General features: G+C 37.5%; 1 protein-coding gene across 4 annotated transcripts in view; it reads right to left on the bottom strand.

The window, feature by feature from the left end:
- Nucleotides 1-1,668: 1,668 nt before the first annotated feature.
- OSGIN2 (oxidative stress induced growth inhibitor family member 2) overlaps nt 1,669-18,852 on the bottom strand; it is a 26,021-nt gene continuing 8,837 nt past the window's right edge. For 2 of the 4 annotated variants that reach the window (NM_001126111.3, XM_011517287.4), the window contains exons 3-6: nt 15,344-15,480; nt 14,811-15,002; nt 8,386-8,477; nt 1,669-5,054 (exon numbers count right to left, since the gene is read on the bottom strand). In NM_001126111.3, coding sequence (NP_001119583.1) covers nt 4,025-5,054; nt 8,386-8,477; nt 14,811-15,002; nt 15,344-15,480 — 1,451 coding nt within the window. In that variant the 3' untranslated portion in view covers nt 1,669-4,024. Of the gene's footprint in view, nt 5,055-8,385; nt 8,478-14,293; nt 14,764-14,810; nt 15,003-15,343; nt 15,481-18,852 lie in introns of those variants that run through there. The other 2 variants (NM_004337.2, XM_011517288.4) reach the window with 2 other exon arrangements.

Genomic DNA, 18,852 nt, shown 5'->3' with positions numbered 1-18,852 from the left:
AGTTCATTATCTTTTCTTCTCCAGCGTCCGGTATGTTAGGCTCATCCAGTGAATTTTTCATTTCAGAATGTACTTTTCAGCTATAGAATGTTCACTTTTTAGTTTTTCTTCTGAGATTCCCTACTTGTTCAGTGTCATTTTAATATTTTGAACATATTAACTTTTAAAGTACTTGTCTGCGACTTCCAACATTTGTATCAATTCTTAGATCTGTTTTGATTGCTTGTTTTGTCTGGCTGTGTCACATTTTCTTGTCTGGACACCCAGTAATCTTTTATTGTGTGCTGGACATTACTGATGCTGTTGTGACAGTCTGGATTTTGTCTTCCTTGAGGAGTGTCAAGTCTTGTGCTGGCAGGCAGTTAATTTACTCACAGTTCTGCTTGATCCTGTTGAGGCTTAGTTTGGGGCAAATTAAGGTACCCCTATTCGCAAGGCATGGCCTTTTTGGGGTTTCAGCTGAATGCTTGAGGTGTTCAGCAAGGTCTGGCTCTGCTATTTGGCCAGAATTCCAATGTCTTCCAGAGCTGAATACCTTCAAAGTCTCCACTCGGCCCCTAACTTATAGCTGCTGATCCCTAAAGCCCCATGGTTTCTCCCTGTACTGTTTAGTATTGTGCCAGATGTAAGAAAATTATGCAGATTTCTGCAGCTGCATCTCTGCAGCTTCCTCCTCCCCAGTACTCTGCCCAGCAGATTCCAGCAGGAACCCTATACTGTGTTATTTTCTCCCAACCAGACATACTCCACTTTGTGTTAGTTTGCAAAGTACCTTCAAGCAGAAAGTCAGGGTGACTATGGAGCTCACCGCTTGTTTCTTCTCTTAAAAATCAGTCCTGGACTGCTGTCTACAACTGTATGAAAACACTGCTTTATATATTTTCTAGAGTTTTATAGTTGATTATTACAGTAAAAGGTAAGCCCTATTCTTATTACTCCATCATGATTAAAACCAGGACGCCATCCTTTTATTTTTAATTTGAAGGTTTTCATTCTTTTTATGCTTTATTAGTCATGTTCTTCACCTTTTTTACCCTGTTCCTTCCCCAGACACCATTTCTCTTGAATAACCTGCATGGGTGGTTGGCGGCGGGGGGGGAGTGGGTAGTTGTTCAAAATAATCAGGGTATCTCTTTAATCCTTATTTCACATACTCTTCAGACTAGCCTTAGGGGACTCAGGCCCTTTATCCCCCTCCCCCCACAAGGAAAGTATACAACTTAAAAACTGTATGATCTGATCAGATCAAAATGGCTCTATGCAACAAGCAGCCTCTGTAACCGAGTTAGATTTTTAATTTTTTTTTTTCAGATAGTTCTGCTCTGAAGCCCAGGCTGGAGTGCAGTGGTGCAGTCTCAGCTCACTGCAACCTCTGCTTCCCAGGTTCAAGCGATTCTTGTGCCTCACTTCCCAAGTAGCTGGGACTACAGGCACACACCACCACGCCCAGCTAACTTTTGTATTTTTAGTAGAGATGGGGTTTCACCATGTTAGCGGGGCTGGTCCCAAACTCCTGACCTCAGGTGATCCACCTGCCTCGGCCTCCTGAAGTTTTGGGATTACAGACGTGAGCCACTGTCCCCAGCCCCCAGTTAGATTTTTAAATGACATTTACATTCAGTCTAATTTTGTTTCATTCTGGGTTCTTCAGTGTTCCAAACACTAAGATTTAGTGGAACTTGCATTTATTTAATAGTTGAATTTATTTAGAAATTTTCCACCACTTCCTATTGACTAATACAATCAACTAAAATTTGATGCCACAGAAATATATTACATAGAACTAGATTTTCAAAAAAGTAGTTGGATATGGTTCACATAGTCAAAACACTGGAAGCTGTAATTAAATCTTTTTGTTGTATCATTGCACTTTAAATCCCCAAATTCTGCTTTGTAAACGGTCTTTCAACATCTGCTAATTATGGACTGTTTGCCAGACACCAAGCCAGGCATCGAGGGATAAGGAGGAGATGCTCACATCATGCTATAACTAGACAAGTATTTAGTGATTCTTCCCTTCCATGAATAGCTATAGCTGATAGCAAAGAAAAAATGTAAAGTGTTAGAATTACGGGACAGAAATTTATAGAACATGAGAGTATAGTATATCAGAGAAAATGCCCAAATGTTATATACTACACAGGACAGCTTGGATTGAGGAAGAACTCAGGAAATGGGAGATTACCAAAGATGAAATTATTCACCAGATTTATTTGCAGCTCCACTGAACTTTTATTTTTCTTGAAGTCTTTTTTTTTTTTTAACAAATACTCTCATCACAAAAAAAGCCATTGTTTGAATAACTGTGGACTTTTGAGACACAAGGGGATGTCAAAGGTTTTATCCTTCCCTTTTTTATAACACTGTCATTTTCTATTTAGAAGTGACAGTAAGAAAAACATCTAATCCAACTCATGCAGAGGTCAAAAACAGGCAGGCAAGAGAGTACTGAAGCAAGTGCAGTCAGAGAATGTTATTTCATTAAGATGTGAAACTGGTTTGAAAAAAGTTATTATCACAATAGAAAACTAAAACTGGATTGTACAGCTTGTAAAATCAAGTTAAATTAGGTGTGATATTATCAAGAGTCTAAGAATTCATCTGAAGCAATTATTTGATCGACGCAAATATATTCTATACAATTATATTTAAAGTGAATTATGGTCCTAATAAGCTTAAGCATTTAATACTGCAATAAAATGAACAGAAAAACCCACATTAATCCACTTTTAATTCTAAGAAAAATAGAATAACGAGTTCAATGAAGACATTCCAGATGAAGTAATTGTACCAAAAAAAGAAAAGAAAATGACTGAAAAATTCAATTTGCCATGGAGAACTTCAGATGTTTTCGTCTTAACATTAAAAATTCTAGCAGTTTGTGTGAAAACACAGACAGTAAACACACTTATATAATTAGAACAGATAAATCCAATAAACAACCATGATATGAGCTGCTATGTCATCTCGAATGAATACTAATAGAGATCTCTAAGTACACCTTTGGAATGGAAAAGAAAAATTCTGACTTTATTTTCTATTTTAACCTTTAATAATTTAGACAATGCCCAAACAGTATTACAATTTTCGAAGTACTTACCACACCCAAATACCTCAGTTTCAGTGACAGAAAGTAATTCAATGTTCACACAGGGATAAGTAGTTCAACCCACAATTTATTGAACTACAAATCAGATTCATTAAATGCTATGATAGTTAAATCGAGAATAAATCTCTGAAAAACATCTTGGTGAGTTCTTGGATGTCAAAGTGTATACCACATTATTGGACTGTTTAAATTATTAGAAGAATATGAAGTACCTGTCAAGGTTTCAACGATAAAAATATTTTTTAAAAGACCCTATTTGGTAATAAATTAGATTTATACAATTGATAATTTCAAAATAAATAAAATCTGAGTTGTAAATGCCTCCTACCCTCACCCCACCCCCAGTTATACATACCTTATATCCATTTTCATTTAAACCAGTGTCTCAAATTTTTATGAGCATACATATCCCTTGGGGATCTTGTTAAAATGCAGGAAGTAAGTTGTGGGGCCTGAGAGTTTACATTTCTAACAAGCTACAGATGTAAGATGCTGCAGGACCTTGCACCACCCTTTGAACAGCAAGGTGACCCATTATATATTTAAGATAATTTCTGGCATAATGACTGCACAGTTTTATAGATTCAAGGCTGTACTATTTTGGAATCAAGTATAATAAATAACCAAAAATGATCATGAAAAATAAGTTTTGCAAGAAAAGAATGTTTTAGTTAAATGAAAGCTTAAGTTACACCAAGTTGGCAGTGTTTCTATTTGTCTGACAGTGACACCTTTGAAACACTGCAATATAAATCAGGATACCAAATTCTAGTAACTTTTAAAAATGAAGTTACTATAGTTTGAGGCTCTCCTTCAGTTAACTCAAGTCCAGAAAATTCAAGCCAGTACACTGCAAAACCACTATTAAAAATCTTTAATGGCAAACTGTCCATTTTAATTACTTGTAAACTTGCTTTAAGCTATCCCATCTCCTCCTCCTCTTTCAACAAACAAATGCTTTTTCTTCTGTCTTGTAGCTAAACAGCGTGTAACACCCAGCGCCCCTCCCTTTAAAAATCGAACAAAATTGTCTCCAACCAAAGGACCCAATGCAAAAAGGTTGGCTTCTTTAATACACTCATAGGTATATGTATCTATTTCCACAGGATTACCCTTACATGTGATTGGCTGGCTTGACTTATGGCCTAGGTAACACCCTTGATCCTTCAGAAAAGACAGATTAGGATGAGAACCTATCAATACTACTGCTGCAGACAGCTTAAATATTTTCTTCAATCCAGAAACGCTTTGGAGAACACATTTCATGTCCGACTTAAAGGAAAGCACACGGTGCTCGGGAAAGCTGGTATAATCAGATAAAAGATTTGAGTCTACAGAATATGACTGAGTACACATCATATGATAGACTTTATGATATTCAGGATACAGCTTTTTGGGAAGCTGTTTGAAAATTAAGCTTGGATCAGTTACTCGTCTGCGAAACACATGAATCACAGGGATATTACTGTTGTAAGCACACAGTACTGCGTCAGCGGCAGTAAGCCCAGAACCTACAATTAACACTGGATCCACTTTGCCACGCAACTTTCCTTTGTTTATAGCAGCTCCAAATTCAGGCATTGAATGAAACACAAAAGGAAAATCTTCCCCTTCAATTTCCAGATGGGCAGGAGAATCCAGCGTTCCAGTTGCCAGCGCTACATTCTCAGCAAAGAGGCAGAAGGGAACATGAGAACCATCAGCTATTCGCTGATAACCCCTAATTTCCCAGTTTCTCTTGATAAAGTTTGACTTCTCTATCTGTAAATGCTTTGTTGAAATATCTCTGTCTTGAATATCATCATCATCTTGATCTCTGTAGAGTCTTGATACGGAAGTTATGTAAGTATTCTCTCTGAAATTCTTCTGAAGACCCATGACTTTTACATAATGTTTATAGTAGCGAGCTATTTCCTCTGGCATAACTCGATCCCCTTTTAGGCTCCTAAAAAAGGAAAAGGAAAAATATCCTATAAGGATACTACTTTCAGTTTCCATGATTATTACTTATCTACCTAGTAAGCTTTTATAGCTTTTTAATTCTGCTGGACTGTCTTAGCTATACATTATCCTAACACTTAAAAAAAAAACTATTTTTAGTTAAAAATCTTCATGAGTTACTTTTTAGCAAAAAATTGGAAGAAGTCCCATGAGAGCAGAGACTATATTTAATGCACTTCTGTTTCCCCAGTGCCATGCATAGTGTCTGCTCAAATACACTGCTTGATAAACTTTCATTAAATGAAGGTATTAAAATGTGGATATTTGAAAATTGGACTACTTTATCTCACAATTATAATCTATAACTATCAACTGAATTATTTTCATGGCAATCATTGAGATATTACAGGCCTAACTAATATCTATGCTTCTTAAAATTATACATGCCATCTTGACATGAATTTTAGTACACTGCTATTTTCCTAACAGCTGAAAATAATTCAGATCTGTCTTTTGCTAAACAAAGTCATCTTACATCTAGGTTAAGTAACAGATGACATTTCACTCTATGTGTTTTCCTACTCACAAGCAGAGCTAAAACATAACTGTTATGAAAAACTTGCATTAGTCTGTATGTCATTTTCCAAAGTTCAAAGCAACAAGCAAAATCCCCTGCCCCAATCAGAGATAAGAAGCAAATTATTTGACATAATTCATGATGTGGATGCTCTTCAATTTACAGTAGGGTTTGTCCTGATAGACCAATTGTAAGTTGAAAATATTTTAAGTCAAAAATGCATTTAATAACAACTAGCTTACTGAACATCAAAGCTTAGCCTAGCTTGCCTTAAATGTGCTCAGAGCACTTACACTAGCCTACAGTTGGGCAAAATCATCTAACAAAATGCCTATTTTATAATAAAGTGTTGAATACCTCATGTGACTTATTGAATTCTATACTGAAAGTGAAAAACAGAACAGTTGCATTGGTACCCAAAGTATAGTTTGTATGAAATGCACATCACTTTGGTACCACCTTAAAACCTAAAAACCTTAAGTGAAACCATGATTAATCAGGGACTGTTTGTAACTTGTAATGGGAAGTTCACAAAAATTTTTCTTTTGAAGTTTAATAATTATTATTAAGATTTAGAATTAACTTTAGATTTTTACTTCTTCAGTCATGTGTCACATAATTCAATCAACAAAGGATAGCATATACAACAATGGTCCCATAAAGGATTATAAAGGAGCTGAAAAATTCCTACAGCTTAGTGACATCACAGCCATCTTAAAGTTGTGGTAAAATTACTTTTTTAAAAAGAAATTCAGTGTACCCTAAGTGTGCAGTGTTTATAAAGTGTACCTTAGTGTACAGTAATGTGCTAGGCCTTCACATTCACTCACCACTCACTGACTCATCCAAAGCAGCTTCCAGCCCTCCAAGCTCCATTCATGGTAAGCGCCCTTATACAGGTATACCATTTTTGGTATGGTACCTCCCACAGGTATACCATTTTAAATCTTTTATATCGTATTTTTACTGTACTTTTTGTATATTTAGATACAAAAATACTTACAATTGTGTTACAACTGCCTATAGTATTCAGTACAGCAACATGCTGTACTGGGTTGTAGCCTAGGAGCAACAGGCTATACCCTATAGCCTAAGGGTATAGTAGGCTATACCACGGAGGTTTGTGTTAAGTACACTTTATGATGTTTGCCCAACGAAATCACCTAACGACACAATTCTCAGAACATATCACCATCATTAAGCAATACACGGCTGTATTATCATCTCCATTTTACAGAATGGAAAATTGACAACTAGTTTATTTGTTCAGGATCACAACACTAGAAGTCATAAGTCGGAACTCAAACTCCACCAATCTCTAGAGACCTAAGAGTCTTCTCTTTATACAAAGGCAGCAACTAAACCTAAATTTATCACAAAATTCATTTGCACATATTACTTCAACACAATATGCATAATTTAGAAAAGTAAATGCTTCTGGTACATAAATCATAAAGCTTTCTCTTTCTTACCCTTTTACAAAGTGAAGAATGTGTTAAGCAATTTCACTTGCCAAGTTACGAAGATCAAGAACTGTACAACTTGCCTAATTTTACTTCAAGTTTCAAACCCATATATAATTCTTTTTAAAAATCTAAAATGAATTTTTGGAAAGGTTTAATCTCAATTACCCATGATGATGTAAATTTGCTCTCCCTGAATTTCCTCATATTAAGGAAAATTTCTATGAATTAACATGGTTGTTATGTAGCAGGAAGTGAAGTACTCAAATGTTACATCCCTGTTCTAACAAAGGTTACGTAACTTCTTATTTTGTGAGTAGTCAAATTAGAGTAGATTCTCTGTATTAGTAATTCTTATCTAATATTTACTATCCTTGAAAATGATTGACAGGATTTTCATATTTCTCTTTTTAAATTTTGGGATTTCCCCTTAAAATAAATAAATTTATAGTTTTCCAAGGTGAGATTTCTTCCGTCCTTTTTTTTTTGAGACAGAGTCTTGCTCTGTTGCCCAGGCTGGAGTCCAGTGGCGCGATTTCGGCTCACTGCAACCTCTGCCTCCCGGGTTCAAGCAATTCTCCTGCCTTAGCCTCCCGAGTAGCTGGGATTACAGGCATGCGCCACCATGCCTGGCTAATTTTGTGTTTTTAGTAAACAGGGTTTCACCATGTTGGTCAAGCTGGCCTCAAACGCCTGACCTCAGGTGATCCTCCCACCTCAGCTTCCCAAAATGCTGGGATTACAGGCGTGAGCCACTGCGCCAGGCCCTCAGTTCTACTCTTATTTTTTTTTATTAAATATGTTCCTTCATACCCAATTAGCCAACCATAAGCCAGATTCTAGCTTATCCATCATTTTAAATTATCAATCATAAAATATACAATCTTTATACTGAAAGTCAAACACTTTAGGTATGCAGAGTTTAGGTATTCATATAAGAGATATGCATAGATAAAGTTATATATCAATGCATAAAAATAAAGTATGAAAAATAATATATGGATGGATGAGAAAGTAACTAAACAGAGAGTGATGTAACAAGACAGTAGATAAACCCATGATTAACAAAAGTCACAGGAAACCAATCTGCAATAATCCCTTAGCTCTGTGCTTAGTTTTATAACATCTCTAAATGAAAACTAGCATATTATAATCACTGCTTCAAGGACACATTTTTATTTGAAAGACGTACATTTATATTCTTCAGCCATGACAAAATCACAAATATTTTGAAATTTTTCCACATTCTCTTTTTCAACGTACACCAAAGAATTTTAATACAGTTCAATCTTTACCTTCGTTTACTTGATACCCAGTCCTTAAATTTAAGTCCAGGTAGTTCCATCCAACTTCCAAAGCTGATTGTCAACATGGAGCCTTCCATATTCTATTAGAGTTTAAAAAAAAAAATGTACCGTCAAAAAACAAGAAGTAACATGGTTTTTTTTGGTCTGTTTTTTAACCATATCCATCTCATTTACAATAATTATGACTCTGGACAAGGTGCGCTCCTGCAGTCCTAAATGGTTGGCTAACTTACCTCAAAAACATTACTCCAATAAACTTTCATATACCTTCATCACTTGATATTATCCCGACAACCTTCTTTCATATAGTTATAAATTTATAAAACAAATTTACAATATTATCCAATGCCTACACAATGTTGATAACTTTGGTCTATGATCAACATAATTCAGATGTACAATATTATGTCAGGGAAACAAAAATTCAGTATATTCATTTTTTGAACAAAAGGAAAAATGTTCATTAAGTTCCAAAATTTTAGATGGCTTTCCATTTTAATATTATTAACTTTCTTTTAATTAGCAACAAAGAAGCTTTTCCCTCCTCCATCAATTATAATTCTAAAATCTAGGCTGATGTGGATACAGCAGCATCTCTTCTTAAGGATACAGAAATAGGCAGTGGATGCCTGAGAAACAAACGAGCTGAGGCTACTGCTTGCCATCAAGCTCCCTTGACCTACTTATTTCTGCTTTGTTCAATACAAAGCAAGAAAAGCCCAAAGGCCAAGTACCTGTTATACCTATGACCTCTATGATCTCTTTCAATCAACTCTTTTAGGCAGTGGCTCCTTTTCTCATAATTTCTTGCCCTGCTTCTATAACACCCAGTTTGAAAATGGGGCATATTATTATTATTATTATAACTGACTTTCACAGAGTACTTACTATGTACTAGGCCCTGTGAAACCTCATTTGTGACTATATACAAATCACCCAAGAAAGAGAATGTAGCAAGCTGCCACCTGCTTTGAGGGAGGCTAGCCCTGATACCAGGTTCAGAACCTGGAATCATCATAAAAGGAGCTGTTAAGAATGTATTATCTATCAGAGATTATTTGGAACCTGAGAGTTTCACCTGTAACTCTAAAACCTTAAGACACTACTATTTCACTTTCTGACAACAATTTTTTAACATTATTCCCACTGCACCAGTTCTTCCAGTTGGTTGAGAGCCCTAATGCCTTGATCTCTTCATTTTTCTCCTATCTTTCTTTTTTCCCCATGTAACCTATATGCCATGAATACAAGCTGCCATGGACACTGTAGTATTAAAGGATGCAAACTAAATAGAAGTATGCAGGAGCATATAGAAAGTATCTGGTTCTTCAAGGACACAAATGGGCAGAGGAGTGTACCATTAGAAAGGGAAAATATTCCAAGCCAAATAAAAATCCATGTGGCAGCTTAATAAAGAGAGCAAATATGAGTGTCCTTCAAGGAGTCAAAAGAAATTCAGCCTTGTGCCTGAAAGGATTAACTCAGCAGGCCTGCGTTGTTCCAACCTTTTACATTACCAACAAAAGCCTGTCTTCAGAACCAGGCTTGGCTGCCACCTTCTTAGAAATAACTTCTGAGCCCCTGAATACTCTACCTGATGAGCATGAGTTTTGCATGCCTAAGGCCTTGGCAATGCTATACCAGTGTAACCATGAGAGTTTATCCTAACAATGTGATTTATGTGAATACCAGTTTTTGCTCTGGGAGGCAGAGGTGAGTCACATGGGAGCTGCTGGCCTATATGACTGACCCCACAGAAAACATCCCTCGACACCACGCACCAGTGACTTTACTAGGAGTGGATATCTAGAAGCTTACACTTGGTTTCTCCTGGACTTTGCCCTGTGAACCTTTTCCCATTGCTGATTCTAATCTGTATCCTTTCACTATAGTAAAATTTAACCACAAGTACACCATCTTTACTGAGTCCTGTGAATCCTATTGAATCTTCGAGACTGAGAATGAACTTGGACTCCCCAACAAAAGCATGCTAGAGCACAGAATGTCAGAGATAAAAAGAGGAATATGACAAGAAACCTAATAAGGGCTAGATTGGAGTATGGTGAGATACATTACGAAGTCTACATACTATATGTTAGATGGAGAGCAACTGAAGAGTTTTATGCATTGGTGTAACATCTCAGACATGTAATTTAGAAAGATGAGTCTGGCTTTGGTATGGATAATGGATTGGAGAAGAGACAATGAGTAAGAAAACCATTTAGAAAGGGTTTGCAGTAATTCTGGTGAAAGACAGCGGTGACCAATATTAGCAACAAAATAGAGTAGATGGACCCAAAATATCATAAATGAAAAAGATTTGGTGATTAATTTGAAATGGGAGTTGAAGAAAGAGAAATCAAGGAAGACTCTCAGGTTCCTGGCTTGAGTAACTACATGAGAATGCCATTTAATGACAAGGAAATTGAAGGGACTTGATGATAAAGATAGTTAGTTTTAGGTACGTTGAGTCTGAGGACACCTGCAGAATAATCAAGGGAATGTATTTACTTGGGTATATGAGAAACAGCAATCTGGGCTGGTTTTGATTTTGGGAATTCTGATTTGGGAATCAATTAATATCAATATGCAAGCCATTGAAGTAGGTAAGATAACCCAGGGAGAATGAAGAGTATGAAGAAAAGACCTGGGCTTGGGATAAGGTCTACAGAAGCAATTTTTAAAGAACAAGAGTCAGCTGGGTGTGGTGGCACACACCTGCAATCCCAGCACTGGGAGGCTAAGGCAGGAGGATCATTTGAGCTCAGGGGTCCGAGGCTGCAGTGAGCTATGACTGTACCACTGCACTCCACCCTGCATGACAGAGTGAGACCCTCTCTCAAAAACAACAACAACAAAAAAGACAAGAATCCACAAAGGTATCAGAAAAGGAGTGACCAAACAGGAAGAAAAACAAGGAGACTGAAGATTCAGAGAACCTAAGAAAGATATGAACACTGTCAAAAGCTGCAGAGATCAGAAAAGATAAATTCTGAGACTCGTCATCAAATTAAGCAAAAAAGAAAGTTACCGACTTTCAGAAAAAACAGTTCCAATGGAAAACCGGTGGCAGAAGGTAGAGTGAGTAAGCTAAGGAGCAGAAAGCAAAGGCAGGGAGAAGTATGTATAGGTAACTCTTTCAGGAAGTTAGCTATAAACCAAAGGATAAAGATCAGCTGGCACCTAAAATTTTTTTAAAGATGGAAATAATTTCAGCATGTTTACATACCGACCAATAGAAGCTGGCAGAGAAATTGAAGATATAAAAGAAATGGGGAAAATCAAATAAATAATGTTCTTGGGAAGACAGGGATCCAGAATGTGGCTGGAAGGTGAGCCTTAGTAGTAATATCTCTTCCATTATAACAGGGGATTAAAAAAAAAGAATTTGCATCAATGTGTAAGTTTTCGGTTTGAGTGTGAAATTGTGGAAGTTCAATCCTAATGGATTACATTTTATCTGTAAAATAAGAACCAAGACCACTTCTAAGCATGAAAGAAAAAAAAGAGATAAAGGTTTGAAAAGAAGTTAATAAGGAAATATCAAAGGTTATAGTAGTGTTTTGGCCCCAACTGAGAGTGGAGAATATTTTCACAGTTGTATAATTTTTTTTCTGGGGGTCTGACTGCTCAAGTGTAAGAAAAGATAAAGTGGATAGTTAGATGAATTGCCTGTATGACAAACCTATGTGACAGAAGGACAATGGGTTAAGGGAATTAAAGAGAATAGTTAACTCCATGGACTACAGAAGCTGGGCTGGGTAAGTAAGGATATGAAGATCACAGCCTGGAGCACGCTCTGTGTTCAAAGATTATCTATAGTGTGAATTAACTGGGTGATAAGCTTGAAGAACAGGAAACTGTGATCAGAAAGGAAGACATTTGAGAATTTAGGTTTTTACAAGTTGAGTAGTTATGACAGATAAGATCTACAGTGGAGCCACTGGAGTGAGTAGCTAATGAAGAATACATCATCATCAAGAATGAGGAGACCAAGGAACAAAAAGGTTAAGATCTTGGTTCTGTGTCATGTTTGTAGAGGTAAAATTATTCAAGGTGGTAACAAAACTTGGGATATAATGGAAGACCCATGAATTAGGTGCCACAGATTCAGTAACTGGAGACAGTCTGGAATGGTAAAAAAGCCAGAAATGGAGACAGTCTGGAGACAGTCTGGAATGGTAGAAAAGCTAGAAAATGGCATCATCTGTTCAATGGAACAGGGCTTTTTACACAAGTGCATAGGGGTGTGAAGAGAAGACCAACCTTACTAGCCAACCTGATGGGACATAGGGCTATGGGAGAATGAATAGGCTCCACTTCAGAGGGCTACAGTGGGAATGGTATCTTTAGGAAAGAGTAAGCTTTCAAGAAAGGGAGCAGAAGCAGCATCTGACAGAATGGTTAAAGATGTGGGAAAGCAAACAAGTTGTTTATCACAAAATTGGTTCAAGGGGCCACAGAAAGTTTGGAAGAGAGAAGAGTGATGAGAAACTAGATCACAAGAGAAACAGAGAACTATATGAAGCTAAGTAGGAGAGAGGGGTGATGACTCAAGGAGTTTACGTCTTAAGTCACAACTCAGGTTAATTAGGATGTACATAAACCATAGCAGGGGAGATGGTCGCATAAACAGATAAATAGTACCACAGGCAAGCACAGTAAGATTAAGATATGGAATGCAGGTAGGATCAAGTAATTATGTCTGGGAACATTAGGAACCTTCACAGAGGTGATGACTGGCAACTGGTACACAGCTGAAATATTACTTACAGCCCTATTTTAGTGAATACATGCCTGAAAAAAATCAGCAACTTTTAGGTATATTTTAACCTTTATCACTGGCTCAAAATGTGTTTTTAGTAATCAGGGTTTATCCATACTTTCTAACTTTTTTATACATAAGTGAAAGAAATGAAACAGATCAATTATCGCCTGCACAACTCATCATTCTTCTAAGCGGAAAAAATGTAAGTAAAATAAAACCTCAGGAATTCAGAGAAGGCAGTCTAAATGCCCTCCCCACTTCCAAATACATTATGGCTTTTTTTAAAATTAAGAATGCTACTAATTAACAGAGAAAATATAAACACTTAAGTTTTGGGCATGATAGAATTCTTTCTTATCTTGTATTGGTGGTTTCACAGTTACAGGCATTTGTCAAATTATACACTCTAAATGGATGCAGCTTATTGTAAATAAAGCTTAAAGTTGATATGAAAAAGTAAAAATCATAAAACTTAAGCTAAAAGCAACAAATAATTTGGTAGTTGCTACTCATTATTAAAAAGAGAATAAAGATTTTAAAAGAAACCCATGACGTATTTAATCTAGGAATGTCCCGATACCCTGAAACAGTCATTTTATAAACGTAAACAACTTTTCAGATGTGCAAAACTGCACTAATACACGAACAGCCAACCGAAGTTTGTACTAAAAATTTGGTATGTAATATGTTAAAGTTCCCATGAAGTCTGTAATTCATAACACAGCAAACTAAATTACTTAACATCAATTTGTATAACAAATGAACACTCACTACACACTAGACACAGTGTTAACTGCTAAGAACACAGGAAGGATGAACAATTATTACTTACTGGCCCCCTAATGAAATGCACTGAGTGAATCCTTAATTCACTGGTTCTCTGGTTTAACCTCTGCTATGAACCGAATTGTATCTACCCTCAAAATTCTTACGTTGAGGTCCTGACCCCCAATGTGATGCTTTTGGAGATGGGGCCTTTGGGAGGTAAGTAGAGCTAGATGAGGTCATGAGGGTAGGTCCCTCAGAATGGGATTACTGGCTTCATAAGAAGAGAATATTTCTCTCTCTCTGCTATGTGAGGACACATTGAGAAGGCAGCTATCTGAAAGCTAGGAAGAGGGCCTTTACCAGGAACTGAACTGGCTGGAACCTTCATCTTGGGACTTCCAGCCTCCAGAACTGTGAGAAATAAATATGTTGTTTAAGCCATCAATTCTATGGCATTTTGTTATCGCAGACAAGCAGACTAACACAACCTCTTTTACATTTTTCATTTAAGATTCTGAAAATGTAAGAAAATAATGGATACTGCTTTGAAATACTATGTGAGATTATGTAAAGTCTAAAATGAATTGAGTTTTAAATTTTTATTATACAAAACATTCTTGAAATGTTTTCTACATAATTCTTGTAAGATAGTATAGAGACATGCTTATTCTAAGACTGTACCAGTAATAAAATTTGGCTTGATTTACTGCTACTTGTAATAAACCCATATTTAACTAACTGAACAGCATTAAAGTTCTTCTCAAATAAAAATGTGATAAACATCACATATAACATTATCATAATGCTTAAGAATAAAGTTGGTCTTATCAAGACAAATAATTCACATACACTAAAATGCTAAGAAAAATATACTCACATGCCAAGCCCCACCAGGTGGACCTTTACCAAGAACTACGTGAGGGATATAATGATGTTGCTCTAATTTCCAATGCAAAACGGATGGATAATCATACCCAAAGTCAGCATCTGGATGAAGAAGTGTATCGAAAAGTACTGCAACTGGATTGGATGATCGGCCCTCAAGGCCCTCAGACAAGTATTCTAAGTCCTGAATGAACAAAAGGGAGACAGAGTTTGAAAAAAGCCAGCATTTCCCAGATAGTATATTCTAATGCTTACCATGATGCTCCAATGATAAAAAGCAGTACCCCCAACTTGACCACAGAGCACCTACTAAATCTCCATTAGAAAATAATTCAGAAAACTCTGCTCTAATAAATTCAAGAAAATAAACAGAAGTAACTCAGAATACATTTACGAATCTAAAATAAAAATGATATAAGGTGTTATTTAGAATAAGGGGTTTCAACTAAGAAAGTTCATATAAATAAAAACTAATCTTGTTTCAGCATAAAAAAATTTTTTAAATTGACATGTAAGAAATAATACCTGATCAACAATGGAAAGATGTCTTGCTTCTTCTAATTTACTATTTAAGATTGTATTTGGGTGTATTGCTTCTGATGATAAATACGGTCTGTAGCCTGATAACATATAAGAAAGGCATATTCCTGAGGGTCCATTTCCTATTAAAAATAAAAGGTGGAAAGGGGTAGGTCATGCATCTTAATACTCTTGTTCCTTGGCTTTTGTCCTACTTTGAAGATGGCTCTTTTCTCTGACCAGTTCTTCCTTTTCTAATCTCTTAAAACCAGATGTTTCATGAGATTTTAACCTCTGCCTTCTCTCCTATTTTCTTTTGGGAATCTCATCTACTCAAGGCTTCAACTCTCTAGGCTACTGACATCCAAAATTAGTTCTCTAAATTGACCTATTTCCCAAGGATATATCCCACATTTCCATTCCACTTCTTGATTCTACCTGATAGAATGGCCCACTAATAACTTTAATGTAATGTGCTCAAAAGCAAGCTCATGAGTCCCTTCATTGAGGTGCCCTCTCCTTCAAACCCTATCCTATCTCAAAGTATGGTACTAGCAAACTTCTAAGTTAATCAGTTTCTGGTTCTAAACCTAGTTTGCCCCCTATATCTTGTCAGTTGTCTTTGCTATTCTCATTCCTGTACTTCACCTAAAAGACAAGTCTCCTACTGTTTCTCTGCCCTGAGATTCACCCACTCCCAATCATTTCACATACTACATTCACATAAGTTTTGGTAACATAATCCTCATCATGTTAGCCTTCTGTTCTAAAGGTCTTCATTGTTTGTTTCTGACTATCCAGTGTTCTCCATTTGAAACAACTTTTGCAAAGATTATGACAGTGAGAGAAATCTAACATGGCTGACTCCATCTTGCTTCTAGCTTCAAAGGCCGGCTGTCTTCCCTCACTCCTGGGTATAGGCAAAGCTAATCATGGAAGGAATTTATAGTTTAACCTTAAAGCAAGGATGGTAACAGTCCTTCCCAAAATTAAACCGCCTTTCTAAAACTAATGAAAGGCCACAAGGTTCGGATTATGAGAGGTGCCGGAATTCTGCTAAGATGTAGGCAGAGTTTCTATAATCCTTTACTGCTGAAGAGTCACGCAGCCAGAGGTCACATGATGTGTGACTTCCCTAATTGCTCTTACAGATAACATCGCTACTGTGGATCCTGAGGTTGGCCTTTTGAAATGTCTTTTCAGACTTTTGCATTTCTGATGACTGTCTGACTCTATTGGTCCCAAGATTCAAGACTCAGACCCAAGACTCAACTGAACCAGTCCTGCGGCCCCCCACCCAGAGTTGGACTCAGTGCTAGAGAACCATTTTTGATACCCCCAGCATGGCATCCCCAACCAATCAGCAGCACCTATTCCCTAGTCCCCTGTTCACCCAACTATCCTTGAAAAACCCTAACCTCCAAGCCATCAGGAGGGATCAGGAGTTTTGTTTTTTTCGTTGTGTTTTTTTTTTTCAGACAGAGTCTCGCTGTGTCACCAGGCTGGAGTGCAGTGGCATGATCTCGGCTCACTGCAACCTCTGCCTCCTGGGTTCAAGCGATTCTCCTGCCTCAGCCTCCCAAGTAGCTAGGACTAGAGGTACACGACACCACACCCAGCTTATTTTTGTATTTTTAGTAGAGACGGGGTTTCAGCGTGTTGGCCAGGACAGTCTTGATCTCTTGATCCACCCACCACAGCCTCCCCAAGTGCTGGGATTACAAGTATGAGCCATCACGCCCAACCAATCAGGAGTTTTATCAGGAGACTAATTTGAACAACTGCAGTTCTCTCACATGGGCTGGCCTTGTGTCAACTTCTTTACTGCAACGCCATGGTCTCAGTGAAATGGTTTTGTCTGTGCAGCAGGCAAGAAACTGCCAGGTGATTATACATCTCAACCATCTTTCCAGTCCTAAATCCTGATATTGCTTTCCTATATGTTTATATGCTTTAACTAAAACCAAACTGGATTTCCTGAACTACTTCCATTTATGAATTAATAATTCCTTTATTCTGGATTACCACTTATTATATCTGCCTTTCAAAAATTTAATCCAACCTAGAGAATTGCTAGCTGCAAAGAAAAAATCCTGTTCCTTACCTAATATGTTACCCCAAATAAAATATACTCAAAGATATAAGAAAAGTAAAACCATAAGAATACTAGAAACAGAGAAAGCAGAGAAAGATTTCAACTTATAATTCTAGAATAGGAAGCCTTAAAGACTGAAAGAAAAATAAAAAATATTTAGAACTAATTTTATATCTTTTTTTTTTTTGAGACGGAGTCTCGCTCTGTCGCCCAAGCTGGAGTACAGTGGTGCGATCTCGGCTCATTGCAACCTCTGCCTCACGGGTTCACACCATTCTCCTGCCTCAGCCTCCCGAGAAGCTGGGACTGACTACAGGCACTCGCCACCATGCCTGGCTAATTTTTTGTATTTTTAGTAGAGACAAGGTTTCACCCTGTTAGCCAGGATGGTCTCGATCTCCTGACCTTGTTATATGCCCGCCTCAGCCTCTCAAAGTGCTGGGATTACAGGTGTGAGCTACCAGGCCTGGCCCTCTTTTCTTTTTTTTTTTTTTTTTAGACAGAGTTTCACTTGTCGCCCAAGCTGGAGTACAATGGCGCAATCGCGGCTCACTGCAACCTCCACCTCCTGGGTTCAGGCGATCCTCCTGCCTCAGCCTCCCAAGTAGCTAGGATTACAGTTGCCCGCCACCATGCCCGGCTAATTTTTGTATTTTTAGTAGAGACGGGGTTTCACCATGTTGGCCAGGCTGGTCTCGAACTCCTGTGCTCAGATGATCCAGCCCACCTCAGCCTCCCAAAGTTCTGGGATAACAGGCGTGATCCACTGTGCCCAGAGATGTCCCAGTCCTATCCCCTAGAACCTGTAAATGTTACTACAGAGCAAAAGGACTCTGTAGATATGATTAAGGATCCTGAGATGGAGAGTAGTCTAGATTACCCAGGTAGACCCAATCTAATCACAAGAGTCCTTAAAAATAGAGAACTTTTCCCAGTTGTGGTGAAAGGGAGACATGACAATGAAAGAAGGTTAAGAAACAACATTGCTGATTTTGAAGCTACAGAAGGGAGCCAGGAAAAGGAAACATTCTTCCCTAGAGCCTCCAGAAAGCAACACAGCCCTGCCAACACCTTGATTTTGGCCCAGGAAGACCCATGTTGAATTTCTGACCCACAGAACAGTAGAATAATACATTCACATTGTTTAAAGCCACTAGTTTTGTGGTAATTTGTTACAGCGGCAACAGAAAACATATATTTAAGAAATTAGCTCTTTATGCTCAGGCTGGTGGTGCCATTGTCAACAGTAATGACACTATATAAATATACATGAGGCTAAGCTACTCACAGCTAGCTGAGGCAAAACAGGGATAGGCTGCTTTGTGGGAAGTGGAGTGGGCAGGTGCAAATGAAGGTTAAGTTTTTCTTTTCTGACCTTCCCACAGCCTAGCCACACAAGAAGACAGGATTCCTCCATTCA

This window comes from Homo sapiens, chromosome 8 (genome assembly GCF_000001405.40).
Source record: "Homo sapiens chromosome 8, GRCh38.p14 Primary Assembly".
Taxonomy (NCBI): domain Eukaryota; kingdom Metazoa; phylum Chordata; class Mammalia; order Primates; family Hominidae; genus Homo; species Homo sapiens.
Note: the sequence above shows the minus strand (reverse complement) of the source record. Positions and strands in the feature narration are given on the sequence as shown.